At 36.5% G+C, this 17,287-nt stretch overlaps 1 long non-coding RNA gene across 1 annotated transcript; it reads left to right on the forward strand.

Moving 5' to 3' along the window:
* The first annotated feature begins 496 nt into the window (after positions 1 to 496).
* On the forward strand, positions 497 to 6,176 carry LOC124902066 (uncharacterized). The gene is made up of 2 exons (XR_007061180.1): positions 497 to 605; positions 5,790 to 6,176. It is a non-coding gene; the product is annotated as an uncharacterized LOC124902066 (long non-coding RNA).
* The last annotated feature ends 11,111 nt before the right edge of the window (positions 6,177 to 17,287 follow it).

A 17,287-nucleotide genomic window follows, 5' to 3' on the forward strand; every position in this document is an offset into this window, starting at 1 on the left:
TGGAAATTTGGGATTGTCTCACTTTTTTTGAAGAATTGCGCATCACTGAAAGTTCCATATCACTAATGTGTGCTTTAATTCATTTTTGTGTCCCCATTTAATATATAAACAATGCTGTGTTCAGTTTTCATTTGATTATAATTATAACATTTTGATCATCATGAAAGCACTCTTAATGCTGCCATTCTAATGTTCATATATTACTGTATCAAAGATAGGCATAGAAAATATAGTATACACTTTTCCACTTAAAGTGTGTATTTAGAACTGACTACTGGTCGTACTACAGGCATTTTTCACAGCTTGTTTTCTTTCTGGGAATTACAAAGTTAGTTTTGGGAGCTGGACAAGTTACTAAGAATTCTGAGAATCTGGATTCTAAAAGTAGTGTATCAGTTCAGAGGTCAGGTGATTTGGCCAGTGAAAGGGCAAGGCTTGGACAAGTGATCATTAGTCATGCTGTCAGAGAACCATTTCTTTCTCCTGCAATAGGCAGCATGGAGAACAGCTTCTTTTCATCCACCTAGTCCCATTCCATCTCCTTAGTGAACATCTGCTGTAGGGACCTGCAGTCTCTGTTTATGGCAAGGACTTTCTGAATATTGGTAAGACTGGGTGCTATTCATCTCTCTCTACTGCTGGAAAGAATGGCTATGTTTGTTTAAAAGTTACTTCAGTGTCTTTATTTCTAAGAGATGAAGTTTCCTTCTCAAAAGCCTGTCTTCAACTATTGCATTTATGGTGATCATAAAATTGAATTACAATTTTGGCAATCATAAATTTTACCAAAGTGGGACACTTATGAGAGTGAAAAGGGTGCTATTAATAATGGCACTGGGAGATAGCTGTAAAGTATGACTGTCCCAGGCAAATGAGAATGAAAGTTCATCCTAGTTATAATGGTGTGGAAATCGTTTCATTCAGGATGTCTCTAGTGAGACTGATGGACAAGGGAAGGGATGTGCGATGTCACAAGGTAAACCAGGTGATGAATCAATGCCGTGCATGTACAAGGACATTAGAAATCATAGGCTGCCAGGACCAACACAAGAGGGAAGAACTGCATCATTGTTACGGATCACCTATATGAGATTGTTTAAGTATGCCAGAATCTGTTCAATTTTGTAATTTACGTATCTGCTGTCCTCAGCTGAAGTACTTGAGGGCAAGTTCTGGGGATGGGAGTCACCTGACAGCTTATCAGTTGCCAGTACTACTCTAAGCAGCTGGAGGAATGGGGTGTTTCTTTCATATGTGGGGATCGGGGTGGGCACCACAGCATTCACTAGAATATTCGTTCTCAACCTTTACTGCATATTAGAGTCTCCTGAGGAGCTCTGCACACTTCCAAAGCCTAGCCTGCACTCCAGATCAATTTAATCATGATTTCTGGGAGTGGGGCCCAGAGGTCAGTGTTTTTTAAAATCCTCCAAATGATTCCAATGAGCAGCCACAGCTAAGTTTGAGAAATATCATATTTTATTATCCTTGTTCACTTATCCAGGTATTTTTTTATTATACCCTAAGTTCTGGGATACATGTGCAGAAAGTGCAGGTTTGTTACATAGGTATACATGTGCCATGGTGGTTTGCTGCACCCATCAACCAGTCATCTACATTAGGTATTTGTGCTAATGCTCTCCCTCCCCTTGCCCCCCACCCTCCTACAGGCCCCAGTGTGTGATGTTCCCCTCCCTGTGCCCATATGTTCTCATTGTTCAACTCCCACTTGTAAGAACATGCGGTGTTTGGTTTTCTGTTCTTGTGTTAGTTTGCTGAGAATGATGGTTTCCAACTTCATTTATGTCCCCGCAAAGAACTTATCCAGGTATTTTAAAATGTCTTAGAGTAAGTTTTTATACTTTTCTCCATGAAGCTCTTTCTTAAATTCATTTCTATCTACTATGTTTTATTGTTATTTAAATTGATGTTTTAAAATTTTATTTTATTGGTTGCTAGTATATAGAAATGAGACTTAAAACTACCTTATGTCCATCAATCTCGATGGATTCTCTTAGTTCTCACAAATTTCCCATGTTAACTTTTGGGGTATCTATGTGTGGGAATAATAATTGTTTAGTTTCTTCCTTTTCAATCTTTATTCCTTCAAACATTGATTTTTCCATGTTACTGGATGGCTTGAACCTTCAGGTCTATGTGGTTAAAAGTGATAATTCCAGATATTATCCATTCCTGAATTTAAAGGGGATGCTTTTAATGATTCACCATCTAGTGTGATATTTATTGTAAGTTTTATGTAGATCCTTTTTATCTGAAAGCATAAAAGGATCTATATAAAACTTACAATAAATATCACACTAGATGGTGATTTTACTGAAATTCCAATCTCTTACTGACTTTTATAAAAGTTTTGTCATTCATTGGTATAGAATTTTTCTGAATGCTTGCCTTGCTTCTGTGATTATCTGAATGTTCTTTACTCTGTTTAGGTGGTGAATAATATTTTCTATTGTAAAATTCATCTTGTATTGATAGAATAAATCTAAAATGTATTACTCATTTTTTTCAATTCTGTTAATAAGGAGTTTAGTCTAAAGTTTCCTTTTAAACTCTAATATTTATATTAAGGTGATGCTATCCTCAAAAAAAGTTACAGCGTGTTTCTTCTCTTCCTCCTTTTTCTGGAAGAGTTTGTGAAGTTTGTAACAATTTTTCTTTATTATTTAGTATAATTTATCTGTAATGTAGTTTGAAATGCTTTGGATGACCTGGGTAGATTTTCAACTGCTAATATTTCTTTAATGGTGTATTAGGGTTCTCAAGAGGGACAGAACTAATAGGATATATATATATATCCTATTATATATAAATATATATATTTCATATATATGAAATATACATATTATATAAAATATATATTATTTTATTATATAATATATAATGTAATAATATAAAATAATATATATTATATGTAATATGTAAAATAAATTATAATTATATTATTAATATTCATATTATAACAATAATATATGTGATATTATATATTATATCTATTATATATTTCCTATAATACATATATTATATTACATATAATACATATTATATATATTATATAATACGTATTATATATAATATATAATATATATAGGAGTTTGTTAAATATTAACTTACACAACTTACACAATCACAAGTTCCCACAATAGTCGGTCTGCAAGCTTGAGGAGCAAGGAGAACCAGTCCAAGTCTCAAAGCTGAAGAACTTGGAGTCCAATGTTCGAGGGCAGGAAGCACCCAACACGGGAGAAAGATGTAGGCTGGGAGGCTAGACCAGTCTCGCCTCTTCATGTTTTTCTGCCTGCTTTATATTTGCTGGCAGCTGATTAGATGGTGCCCACCCGATTAAGGGTGGATCTGCTTTCCCCACCCCACTGATAACATCTTTGGTAACACTGTCACAGACACACCCAGGATCAATATTGCATCCTTCAGTCCAATCAAGTTGACGCTCAGTATTAACCATCACAAATGGTTTATAGACTTTTATGTTTCCTGTTTCTTTTTGAAGGACTTATACTAAACACATATTTGTAGGAAATTGTTTTATTTAGTTTACTAATCATGTTGGCACAATATTAATATATTATTGTCACTTTTCTGATTTTAAAGATATTTTCTGGGGAAGTGGATAAATTGGTCTTTTCCCATTTGTTGAGAACTATAGGTACGTTTATATTCAAATACTTGACCCAGAGAAAACATTTGGATTTCACTAGTGTGTTTCTATAAACAAACCAAAAGTGACTCTAATGACAGACATAGACATAGTTTGGGAGAGGCATGCTTTAAACTCAAGATGTGTTAAAGGCCGTCTATTCTATTTATGAATAAAACTGCTTTGCTTTCATGTACTACCAAGGTTTGTTGTTGTTAAAAATCAATTAAAAATTGAAAAGCATTTGCAAAATAAGTTTAAAGTGTATAGCCAAGCAATAAGCTGGCTAGTTTTGTTCTTTCACTTATTGAATGGTATTTATTAAATGCATAGTATGTGCCAGGCATGATATTAGACATACCACATTACCAAGCACTGCCATTCTCCTGCCTAGGATGCACAATGCCCTTGTAAATTTCTAGAAATCTTAAGAAAAACAGTGGAGGGCCAAGATCAGCAGTAGGATGAAAACACTGTGTCAAACAGTTGATAGAAACTAAAACATTGGACTTCCTCTCTGCCTCTCTTCAACCTAAGTCTTTTTGACAGGAGTATATTTAGGTATGTTTCTCTCCTAGTGCTATTGTTTATGTCAGATTGATGTCACCTAGTGAGGGGGATCATTTGTTTCATACCATTTAAATTGCTGATGGAATCCGAGTAGCATATATATTTCTTTAACTGTGTTATTTTATTTAATCACTGTCATTTCCAATAGATTCTGAGAGAGATTCGGTTACACAGTTTTGTCCACTCCCATATGGCAAAACATTTTTTTGTTTTTTGAGAATTGATAGTCTACAATAATATTGCCAAAATATGAGTCAATAGCCAGTTAGATGAGAACCATTATACAATTCTCAATTTTAACCTGTTGTAATTTGCTTTTCTAGGGGGACAATATTTGGTGTTCTTATTGTCCTTTGCTGGAATATAGATATTAATCTTTCATTCTCTATTATCAACCTTAAATAGAATTGTCTAAACATGCTCCAAAGGCAGTTCCTATTTCAGTGCCCATTTAAATTTGCCTTTAATACTCTGTTTATCAGATTTCCAAAGAGGACTTCAGGCATATTAAAATTGAGTAGCTTTCAATCTAATGTGTATCCCAACACAACTGAGTAATCTCAGATGCTTTCATCAGTAAGGAGATAATCTCATCAGCGATTTGTTTGCATGTGGGTGCTTTTGAAGTTGTTAGAAATCTCCAAGGGAGTTTATTCACAAAGAGTGACTCTCACAAATATTTGTTGAGTGCCCACTACATGTTATACAATATTCTAGCTACCAAAAATGCACTACTGAAATAGGTAGTTATTGCCCTTTAGACTTACATTATATTGGTAGACCTTATTAGGCAATTTCACTGCAGAGGAATAAGAGTTATAGTAGATCAAATACAGGTGCTCAGAGAGCACAAGGAGGTGCACAGAACCCAGAGCTGGAAATTAAGGGAAGACTTCTTGAAATTACCTCTCTGCTGAGATACAAGCAACAACACTTTGCTAGGTAAACAGCTGTCAAGGTTGTAGTTTGGGGGTTGGGAATACCAACAGCAGGAAAAGCAAGCAAACAACAAACATATGGAATGAACTGGGGTTATATGGAGAAGGGCAGGCTTAAATAATTTAACATTCATTAGCTGAATTGAGTGTATACTGGATGAATTGAAGCAGTTTTAGGGCATGGGTCTTTCCCTCTATGTTTTGGGTCATTTCCTTCATATATACTGTAATACATTCGATGCATGCATAGAATTTCAAGCTCATCACACTTCCTACTTAGGACCAAATATTAAATAAATAAAAATGGCAAAAGGAGGTATTTGGAAGACAGCGATGGTTATTAGTGTCTTATCTAGTGAGATGATTACCAAATTTAGTAGAAGAAAACCTCCTTTTAGTCTCTCTTGGCTCCAAGTTACAGAAACCATATGAACTGGCTTCATCTAAAATGGAATTTTTTAGAACAAGGATACTGGTGTACCACATGGAACCCAAGAACAGGGATGTGATGAGCCTGCATCTCATGAAAAATTGGAACAGGGACTCTCTTGCTCTCTTACATCTTTACTTCAATTTGTTTATTTACTTTATCCTTTTCTCTTGCTCAGAATCATCTTTCACATTCTACAGAAGTCACAGAAGCCAACACACAACTCCAGAGTTAAACATATTAAACCCCTGTCATCAGAGAGAACTTTCAAAAAATCTTGAGATGGGACCCATTGGCTCAGACTGAGTCAGATGTCTACCCTTGGACCAATCAACTGTGGTCTCTGTGAATGTAGGCTACTATTATTGCCCTATTTGAGTTTTCTTCCCACTCATGAGCCAATCAACTCTAGACAGAAAAGGGAATGATCTGAAGCTTGGAAGTTCTCACAGGAACCCTATAAATGAAGAAGAGGACAGGACATGTTTTAAGACAAAGAAAAACGCTATGCAACCAAAATACATCTACTACAATAACAGTGATTATTAAAAAGTCATTTAATTTCTCTAAGCCTCAATTTTCTCTTCTCTAAAAGTGTATGAATTGTCTATTGCTATGGATATGTATCAAATAAGATACTTTAAAAGTTTTAAATGACAAACTTCTATACAGTTCTAAAAGGTTGCTCTGATTATTACACTGGTGTCACCAAAGTGGTTTCTAGATTCTATTTCTGCAGAGCTTTCATTTGTAAAATTGGAATGATTTTCTCTACTTTTTATGGTTATGGACTAATTAAAGAGAAATATCTACCATTTATTTATTGATGGTTTAATATATATTATGGTAGGAGGTTTGCACATATTTCCTTTTTTAATTTTCACCACAGTCCTATAAACTAGATAGTCTTACCAAGCATACTGTAATGTAAACAGGTTAAGATGATTAAGTTCCTAACATGAATTAGTGTCAGAGAGAGGATTTAAATCAGGTCTGAGTGATTCCGTGATTCCAAAGGCAAGGTGGGGATTTTAAAGAGCCATACAATAACACTCTTATGTGTTATAATTTTATTGTTCATTTTTATAATTCAATTATAATTGGTTTATTTCTGAGCTAGTTTCCTTAAAATTTTTAATATTTTGCCATTACATTTTTAATGACCTAGTGATTATATTAAAAATCCTATCTTTTATGAAGATATAATGATGCCATACTGTGGATTTGCCAAGTGATGCTCTACTACTTGTTGGGAGAAATTAAAATTTTAATTCTGAATGAGAAGCTTGATATTTGTAAACAATTGCAAGAAGAGAGGGATAAATAATCACAACTTGTTCAGAAACAGTATGTCAGCATCCAGGGAGGTTTCTGGAAGAATTATTAACAGCAGGTTATCATCTTTGGTCTTAACAGTGGAAAGTACAATTAAGGAGTAGTTGTTAGAATTTCTGGGTTCTGATCCACCTGGACAGAATACACATTTTCTTTTGTAATTTATATTAGAAATAAGATACCTGGCCCATCTGAGCATGTATGATTAGTTTGGTGGAATTGTGTTCTAATCAGAAACATTAGAGTATTCTGACCATTTTTGTAAGAAAAAGAGTCTCAATTGCATGGCAAAAACCCCCCAAAAAATGGTATTCTACTTTTATGTTCTTAATTTAATGACATGTTAGATACTCCAGATTCCATTCAAAGAGATGAGTGGGCTAGCTTTTGTGATATTTCTCATTACTGAGATATCATATAACCCTTTCAGGTATTTCTGAAAACACATGAGACAGAATCCTCTCTTCATGAAGTAATATGTGGAAGTCCTCTTCATTATATCAATGCTGTTAGTGTTTACCTCTTGACTTTCAGAAAGTTTCTGTGCAATGCCTTTCTTTTTTGGCTTCACTTTAGGTCTCTCTTCCATTAATCTTGCACATATACTTAATGATTCTCTTTCAAAGAGTGTTTCCTTTAAGGATTAAGCTCCTTTGGGAATTAATCCAAACTTGTAGGTTTACATAGCAGTCTAAAATCATGAATTTTTGTATCTGGGACAACAACTCCATCCACAACACATTATCTCATCATTTACTCAGAGAGTATTCAGATTTCTTTGGACCTGACTCCTTGAAAGTGAGCTGTCCTTCTTATGTATCCAAAAAGTCTCAGGTGTATTATAGCTTTGCTATTTGAAAATAATATCAAAGACAGCATCTTACGATGTTCAAAGGCAATGTTACATTATTTGTTTTTCAGATGATAGGACTGAAATTTTGAAGGCTGAAATGGCTTGCTATGGAATACAATGTCATGTGGCAGATTGGGAAGGAACACTCAGGGCTTCTGGCTCCTAGTCCAGAGTAATTTTTGTGCTCTCTTTACATGTCACCTTCATCTGCACTGTATCATTTGGTTCATAAAATAATATGGCATTCAGGCAGAAACAGATTTGGTCCTCCACTAGTTTACAGATAAGAATATTGAGCCCTAGAGGGATTTTTGTCCAAGGCTATATGACGAGAAATGTTTTGCCCCCAAGTTTAAGGTATTTCCAGTACAATTTGCTGGCTTTCCAACTTAAAAACGTTCTCTATGGCCCATTAATAAATTCTACAATCTCTTTTTATTTTAAACGCCCTTCATATTTTTTAGATTTCTTATATTTATAATATTTTAAAATACATGTTTTATTGAATTAATAAAGCAATAATTTCCATAGTGGTCCACCCTGAACTCTCCAGGGAACCTGCCTGCTGCTCTTGTAGTATAAGAACAGCAGCAAACAGCTTTTTTGTTGGAAGTCTACATGAGTTCTGTTGCTAATAAAATGAACATTTCTTTTTTAATTTTAATTTGAGTTGGGGATACATGTGCAGGTTTGTTACAAGGGTACATTTCATGATGTTGAAGTTTGGACTTTTATAGTCCCATCACCCAGATAGTCAGCATAGTACCTAATGGGAAGTTTTTCATTCCTTTGACCATCTTTAGGCCCCCTAGTATCTATTGTTCCCATCAATATGTTTGTGGGAACTGAACTGAAGGGAACAAACTGAAGGTTTATCTCTCACTTATAAGTGACATTATAAGTGATATTTGGTTTTCTGTTCCTGCATTAATTTGCTTAGGATAATGGCCTCCAGCTGCATCCATGTTGCTGCAAAGGACATGATTTCATTCTTTTTTATGGCTGTGTAGTGTTCGTGGTATATATGTACCACATTTTCTTTATCCAGTCCACTGTTGATGGGCACCTAGGTTGATTCCATTTCTTTGTTATTGTGAATAGTGCTACAATAAACATATGCATGCGTGTGTGTGTGTTGTTTTTTTTTTGGTAGAATGATTTATTTTCCTTTGGTTATATGCCCAGTCATGGGATTGCTGGGTAGAATGGAAGGTCTATTTTTAATTCTTTGAGAAATCTCCAAACTGATTTCTATAGTGAAGTAATTTACATTTCCTCCAACAGAGTATAAGCATTCCCTTTTCTCTGCAGCCTCACCAGTATCTGTTGTTTTTTGACTTTTTAATAATGGTCATTCTGACTGGTGTGAGATGGTATCTCATTGTAGTTTTGATTGGCATTTCTCTGATGATTAGTGTTGTTGAGCCTATTTTTCATATGTTTGTTGGCCTTTTTATGTCTTCTTTTGAGAAGTATCTGTTCATGTACTTGGTCTACTTTTTAATGGGGTTACTTTTTTTCTTGTTGATTTAAGTTCCTTGTAGATTCTGGATATTAGTTCTTTGTTGGATGCATAGCTTGTGAATATTTTCTTCTATTCCTTAGGCTGTCTGTTTACTCTGTTGGTAGTTTCCTTTGCTGTGCAGAAGCTCTTTAGTTTAATTAGGTCCCAATTTTCAATTTTTATTTTCATTGCAATTGGCTTTTGAGGACTTAGTCATACATTCTTTCCCTAGGCCAGTGTCTAGAGGGGTATTTCCTGGGTTTTGTTTTAGGATTTTTATGGTTTGCGGTCTTACATTTAAGTCTTTAATCCACCTTTAGTCATTTTGTATATGGTGATAGGTAGGGGTTCAGTTTCCTTCTTCTACAAACAGCCAGTTTTCACAGCACTGTTTATTGAATAGAAAGTCCTTTCCTAATTACTTATTTTTGTTGAGTTTGTTGAAGATCAGTTGGTTGTAGGTGTGTGGCTTTACTCCTGTGTTCTCTATTTTATTCCATTGGTCTGTGTCTATTTTTGTACCAGTATCATGCTGTTTCAGTCACTGTAGCCTTGTAGTATAGTTCGACATCAGGTATTATGCCTCTAGCTTTATTCTTTTTGCATAGAATTACTTTGGCTATTTGAGCTCTTTTTTGGTTCCATATGAATTTTAGAATAGTTTTTTCTGTGAAAAATGATGATGATTTGATACAAATGGCATTGAATATGTAGATTGTTTTGGGTAATATGGACAATTTGGACAATGTTGATTCTTCCAATCCATAAGCATGAGTGTTTTTTCTATTTGTGTCATCTATGATTTCTTTCAGCAGTGTTTTGTAGTTCTCCTTGTAGAGCTCTCCTACCACCCTGGTTACATGTATTTTATTTTTTTGTGTATGGCTATTGTAAAAATTGTGTTCTTGATTTGGCTCTTAGCTTGAAAATCACTGGTGTATAGAAATGCTACCAACTTTTGTATGTTGATTTTGTATGCTAACACTTTACTGAAGTTATTTATCAGATCCAGGGGCTTTTTGGTGGAGTCTTTAGAGTTTTCTAGATATAGAGTGGTATTGTCAGCAAAGAGAGAAAATTTGACCTCCTCTTTTAACTATTTGGATGCCTTTTATTTCTTTCCCTTACCTGATTGCTCTGGCTAGGGCTTCTAGTACTAGGTTGAATAGCAGTAGTCACAGTACACATCTATGAAAGCTAACATTTCTTAAATGATGTACATGAGACAACTTTTTAAAATGTGGAAATTATTTTCATCTAAGCCAAAACAAAAAGTTTTTGTAATTTTTTTCCTTGAAAACTAATTGATGTTAATTTAAGAAAATCATTTTCTGCATCTTTTCAAAACATTTGTTAATTTGCTAATGTACATTAGGAAGCAGTTCAATAATTATTACCAGGAAACTATGGGTATATTCCAATTTTCCCAATAATAAATTTAAAGATAATAGATAAATTAATAGTACAGTATTTTGCCCCTAATATTTTTCCTAAAAGTTGTAGACTCTGAGGAAATCACATCTCTGTTCACTAAGGTTCTATATGCATTTTCTATTGCTGCCCTTATCAATTACAACAAACTTAGTGGTTTAAACAACACACATATATTATTTTATATCTCGATAGGGAGTAAATTGGACCTGATATGGTTTGGCTCTGTGTCCCCAACCAAAATCTCATCTTGAATTGTAATAATTCTCATGTGCCAAGGGCGGGACCAGGTGGAGATAACCGAATCATTGGTGGAGGTTCCCACATCCTGGTTTCAATATAGTAAGTTCTCATGAGATCTGATGGTTTTATTAAGGGGCTTCCCCCTTCGTTTGGCTCTCATTCTTTCTCCTGCCACCATGTGAAGAAGGACATGTTTGCTTCCCATGCCACCATGATTGTAAGCTTCCTGAGGTCTCCCCAGCTATGTGAAACTGTGAATCAATTAAACCTCTTTTCTTTATAAATTACCCAGCCTTGGGTATGTCTTTATTAGCAGCATGAGAACCGACAAATACAAATTCATTCCCTTGAAGTTGTTAGACTGAGGCACCATTCTTTGCTGGCTCTCAGCTGGTGGTCATTCTCAGCTTCTAGAGGTGGCCTGTATTTCTTAACTTGTGGGCCCTTTTGTCTTCAAATCCAACAATGTAAGTTGTCATCCTTCTCCTGCCTTCTCTCTCCTGCTTTTTTATGTGTCATCACATCTCTCTGACCATTGCTGGGAGAGGTTTTCTATGTTTAAGAGCTGATGTGATTAGATTAGGCCTATTATGATAATCCAGCATAATCTCCCCATCTCAAAATTCATAACCTTGATCACATCTGCAGAGCCTCTTTTGCCACAAAAAGGAACATTCATATATTCTGGGAATTAGGATATAAACATTTTGGGGTCCATTAGTCTACCATAGGTCCTTTGTAAGATTCTGTGACTCTTCAATTCAAGTTTGTGTCTGCAGAATAACTCCTTTTGATTTCAGAGAAATAAAAAATATTGGGAATATTGTGGCTTCTGTGATGAAAAGTCTTTTAATTTTATTACAATTTTAAAAACTTTATGGAAAAATGAAATCTGCCTCAATTTATGCTAAGTATATATCAAACACAAGCCTGATTTTTTGTTAATTCAATCAGTTATTCAATGCAATTAAAACAATTATACTCTTGGTTGTTTAGTGTCAAAGTGACTGAAGGTCCATTTTCAAGGCGTGAAGCAATGCCATGCAAACATAGCGTTGAGGCAAAAAAAAAAAAAAATTAAATTCCAGATTGTCCCCCTTCTTCCTTCTTCTTTTCGTCCTAAGGAAGAGAGGATGGTATTATGGGATAAAATGGTGGGATTTCAAATAAGATACAGATTATTTAATTTGGATATGTTTCAAAGTCTCATATAAGGAACCAATTGCTCTTGAAATAGGAAGGAGACTTTCCTTCTGGTAGCTCGTAAGAAAGGTGAGCTGTTGCAGAGGAATGAGAGCAATGGTACTGTAATTATTGCTCCACACAGGACCCTCCCGTTCTTTTTATTCATTTGTTTATTTACTCAACCATATTCATTCTGAGTTTATCTAAACCAGGAATTATAACAAAGCCAGTCATTCTACCTATAGCCTTCTTTCCAGCTTGTCTTTGGCCACTCTCTCAGAGGAAAACATTATGCTGAATTTTTTGTTTATCTTTTCTTTGACAAAAAAATATTTATAGGCCAGGTGCAGTGGCTCACGCCTGTAATCTCAGCATTTTGGGAGGCTGAAGCGGGCAGATCACTTGAGCCCAGGAATAGAAGTTTACAGTGAGCTGTGATTGCATCACTGCTCTCCAGCCTGGGCAACAGAGCAAGCAAGACCCTGCCTCTAAAATGTTTTTTTTAAATATAAATTCTAGAACTGAAAAATTCAATAATTGAAATTAATTAGTCAACAGATGCATTTATTAGCCAATTGGAAAAACAAAAGATAGGATTAGTGAACCGGAATATAGGCCCACAGAAAATATGCAGACTAAAGCATGGGCCATTAACTGCCAGGCATTTTCAACTTGTCTTACGTGGTACCTGACCAATAACCCTGAGGCAAAGACCAGAATGGGGAGTGCCAGGGTTGTAGACTGGGCTCCAAGTCTGCTAAATGAATTTTTCTTTATGTATGTCTAATTTTAAAAAGCAAGATACAACTTTTTTCCTGACCTATATTTATTATCAACACTTTTGACATCAAATTTGTGGGGGTTTTCTCTATACCAATATATTCTCCAACTCTATGGACACCAACTTTGTGTCCTATGATTGAATTCAATTCTGACGCTAACTCTCCTATGTTAGCACTGAGCCCACAGATTAAAGGGCTCAATCCTACCAAGCTTCACCTACTTCAGATGGCAAATGCCAGTCCCAGGTTGCCATCTTTGCTTTTGGCCAACCAGTTATAAATTGGAGTTTTCTATGTCCCCCTTCTCAAGTTCCATAATTTGCTAGCATGGCTTTTAGAACTCAGGAAAGCACTTTACTATTACTAGTTTATTATGAAGGATGTCATACAGGATACCAATGAATAGCCAGATTAAAAGATACATAGAGTCAGGTATGGACGAGGTGTGTGGAACTTCTGTGCCCTCTCAGGGTGTTCCCAGGACCTCAATGTGTTCATTAACCTGGAAGCTCTCTGAACCCCATTGTTTAGGGAGGTTTCATTACATAGGCATGATTAATTAAATCATTGCCCTTTGGTGATTAACTCAATCTCTGGCCCCACTCTCTTCCCTGCAGGCCAGGAGTTGAAAGCTCTAATACTTCAATCATGCCTTAGTCTTCCTGTTGCCTAGTTCCAATCCCAAAGCTAACTAGGGACCCTCAGTCACCAGTCATCTAATTAGCATACAAGAGACACTCATTTCTTTATGCAGATTCCATGTGTTTTAGGAGCTGTGTGCCAGGGACTGGAAACAAAGACCAGATACTTTTTATAAATGTAATATGTTACATTTCCTTTTAATTTGATGTTGTCCTTTAATTTATGATTCTAGTACATTTATATTTATTGTGATTATTTGTATATTTGGAGCTATTTCTACCATTTAAAACTTATGTTTTCTCCTCTTCCTTTTCTGTGATTGAGTTTTCATTTGTTTTTATCCTCCTTTTCTCACATCTTATTTGCTTAGAATTTATACATGTAACTTCTCTTCTTTAGTCCTTAGCTTTATAATTGTATTGTAAACATTTACTCCAATAGAGCCTTAAAGCTAAACACCATCTTGATCCCTCTCCTATATGATAAATGTATATTAAAACATTTTAGGTTTTATCTTTCCTTCCCTACCAATGTAGTGGCAAGTATTTTGGATGGGATCTTGTGATTAAACCCTGTCAGTTTTTATCTGAAAATATTTTTATTTTGTCCTTATTCTGCTGCAATAATTAATCCAAGTTGACAGTTATTTTCTCTCATCATTTGGAAGTTCTTATTCCATAATCTTCAGGCTGTAATTTTAGTTAAGAATTCTGCTGGCTGGGCTCACACCTGTATACCAGCATTTTGGGAGGCTGAGGCGGGCAGATCACTTGAGGTTAGGAGTTCGAGACCAGCCTGGCCCACATGGCAAAAACCTGTCTCTACTAAAAATACAAAATTAGCCAGGTGTGGTGGCATGTGCCTGTAGTCCCTGCTACTTGGGAGGCTGAGGCAAGAGGATCACTTGAACCCAGGAGGTGGTGGTTGCACTGAGCCAAGATCACGCCACTGCACTGCAGCCTGGGCAACAGAGTGAGACTCCATCTCAATTGAAACAAAAATAATTCTGCTGTCATTTTAATTGATCTTCTTCTTTTAAAAATATGAGCTGTGCTTTTTCTCTAGTTGCTTTTATGAACAAGAGTTCTTTGGAAAGGATTTTGGAGGAAAGAGGCTTTATTCCAGTGAATAGTTTGCAAACTGGAGAAACATAGCAGTGTAAGACAAAGATACATTCCAAAAACAAAGAGAGGGTTTGGGTTTTATAGCAAATGTTCCTGTCTAGTTTCTCAACCAGGTTCACTTATGCAAAAGAAGAATTGAACTTTGCTTAGTTATGATTGGTCAATACAGTTAAGCCCTAATTGGTTGATATAGCTCAGCCCTTGGACTAGGACAAATGAGCTCTGATTGGTTGGTTTCCAACCCTCAAACCAGAAATCTGTCAGATGCTTCTTTCAAATGCCAGGTGTTGGAGGATTTCTGGAAGCAGTTTATCCTGACACTAACAACAATAACTGGTCTGCCTTGATTCTAGAAAGGGAGGTCCTATGATAACTTTTACAACAACTTTCTGAGAACGCAAACTGTGTGATTGCTCCCTCACCCAGCCATGGCCACCTGTTTTAACTTTGAGCACCTCAGCCACAAGGAATGTATTTTGTCTGTAAGTAGGGGCTCACTTTAACACGTTTAAGATTTTTTTTGTATAATTTTATTATGATCTGTCAAATATGGATGTATTTTTGGATCTGTGGTTTCTTATTTTGCATCTCTACTGGGAATTTTACAGCTATTATTGCCTTTCTTTTGTTCTCTTCATTTTCTTTCTTTTTATATATTTTTTTGATCTTCAACAAAATCCAAAGCCTTCTCATTTTGTCCTCTATATCCTCTATATCTTTTATTTTCTTTTATTTATTTTTTTGAGACCAAGTCCTGCTCTGTCACCCAGGCTGGAGTGCAGTGGTGCAATCTCGGCTCATTGCAACCTCTGCCTCCTGGCTCAAGAGATTCTTGTGCCTCAGCCTCCCAGGTAGCTGGGATTATAGGCATGTACCACCAGGCCTGGCTAATTTTTATGTTTTTAGTAGAGATGGGGTTTCACCATGTTGGCCAGGCTGGTCTCGAACTCCTAGCCTCAAGTGATCCATCTGTCTTGGTCTCCCAAAGTGCTGGGATTATAGGCGTGAGCCACTGCACTTGGCCTCTATATCTTTTAATGTTTACTTGTTTTGTCTCATTATGCTACATTGGGGATAAATTATTTTGCTATGTCTTCCTCTAATCTATTATTCTTTTTTTTTTTTGAGACAGAGTTTCGCTCTTATTACCTAGGTTGGAGTGCAATGGTGCCGTCTTGGCCCACTGCAACCTCCACTTCCCAGGTTCCTGCCTCAGCCTCCAGCAGCTGGGATTACAGGTGCCTGCCACCACACCTGGCTAATTTTTGTATTTTTAGTAGAGATGGGGTTTCACCATATTGGCCAGGCTAGTCTCGAACTCCTGACCTCAGGTGGTCTGCCTGCTTTGGCTTCCCAAAGTGCTGGGGTTAAAGCCATGGGCCACCACGCCCAGCCTATTCTATTATTATTACTATTTGTTTGAGTCGGAGTCTGCTTTGTCACCTCACTAGAGTGCAGTGGCTCAATCTCGGCTAACTGCAATATCTACCTCATAGGTTCAAGCGATTCTCCTGCCTCAGCTTCCTGAGTAGCTGGAATTACAGGCATTTGCCACCATGCCTGGCTAATTTTTGTATTTTTAGTAGAGACAGGGTTTCACCACGTTGGCCAGGTTGGTCTGGAACTTCTGACCTCAGGGATCCTCCTGCCTTGGTCTCCCAAAGTCAAAGTGCTGGGATTACATAATCTATTATTCTTTTTTTTGGCAGGGGGAGACGGAGTCTCACTCTGTCGCCCAGGCTGGAGTGCAGGCACGATCTTGGCTTCACTGCAAGCTCCGCCTCCTGGGTTCATGCCATTCTACTGCCTCAGCCTCCCCAGTAGCTGGGACTACACGGGCCTGCTACCACGCCTAGCTAATTTTTTTTTTTTTTTTTTTGTATTTTTAGTAGAGATGGAGTTTCACTGTGTTAGCCAGGATGGTCTTGATCTCCTGACCTCGTGATCTGCCCACCTCAGCCTCCCAAAGTGCTGGGATTATAGGCGTATGATCTATTATTCTTTAAAAAAATTCTTGCTATTTACCTAATATACTTATTGGCCTTTATTGAGCCTTTAATTTCAACAGTTATAATATTTTATTTCTGTAATTACTATCTTTTCAGCTCAATGTGCTTATTTCTCATGTTTTTTACTCTATGCTTCTCTTTGTAACTTCACTTTTCTTTTACAAATTTCATGCATAGCTATTTTCTTTTTTTTTTCTTTTTTTTTTTTTTTTTTTGAGACGGAGTCTTGCTCTGTTGCCCAGGCTGGAGCACAGCAGGGCGATCTGGGCTCACTGCAAGCTCCGCCTCCCAGGTTTATGCCATTCTCCTGCCTCAGCCTCCGGAGTAGCTGGGACTACAGGTGCCTGCCACCCACACCCGGCGAAGTTTTTTGTATTTTTAGTAGAGACGGGGTTTCACCTTGTTAGCCAGGATGGTCTCGATTTCCTGACCTTGTGATCCACCTGCCTCAGCCTCCCGGAGTTCTGGGATTACAGGCGTGAGCCACCGCACCAGGCCCTTATAGCTATTTTCTATTATGTCAGTTTCAAGGTCTGCAATTCCTTCACTTTAAATCTTTGTTTTTTTT

This window comes from Homo sapiens, chromosome 8, assembly GCF_000001405.40.
Source record: "Homo sapiens chromosome 8, GRCh38.p14 Primary Assembly".
Classification (NCBI taxonomy): Eukaryota; Metazoa; Chordata; class Mammalia; order Primates; family Hominidae; genus Homo; species Homo sapiens.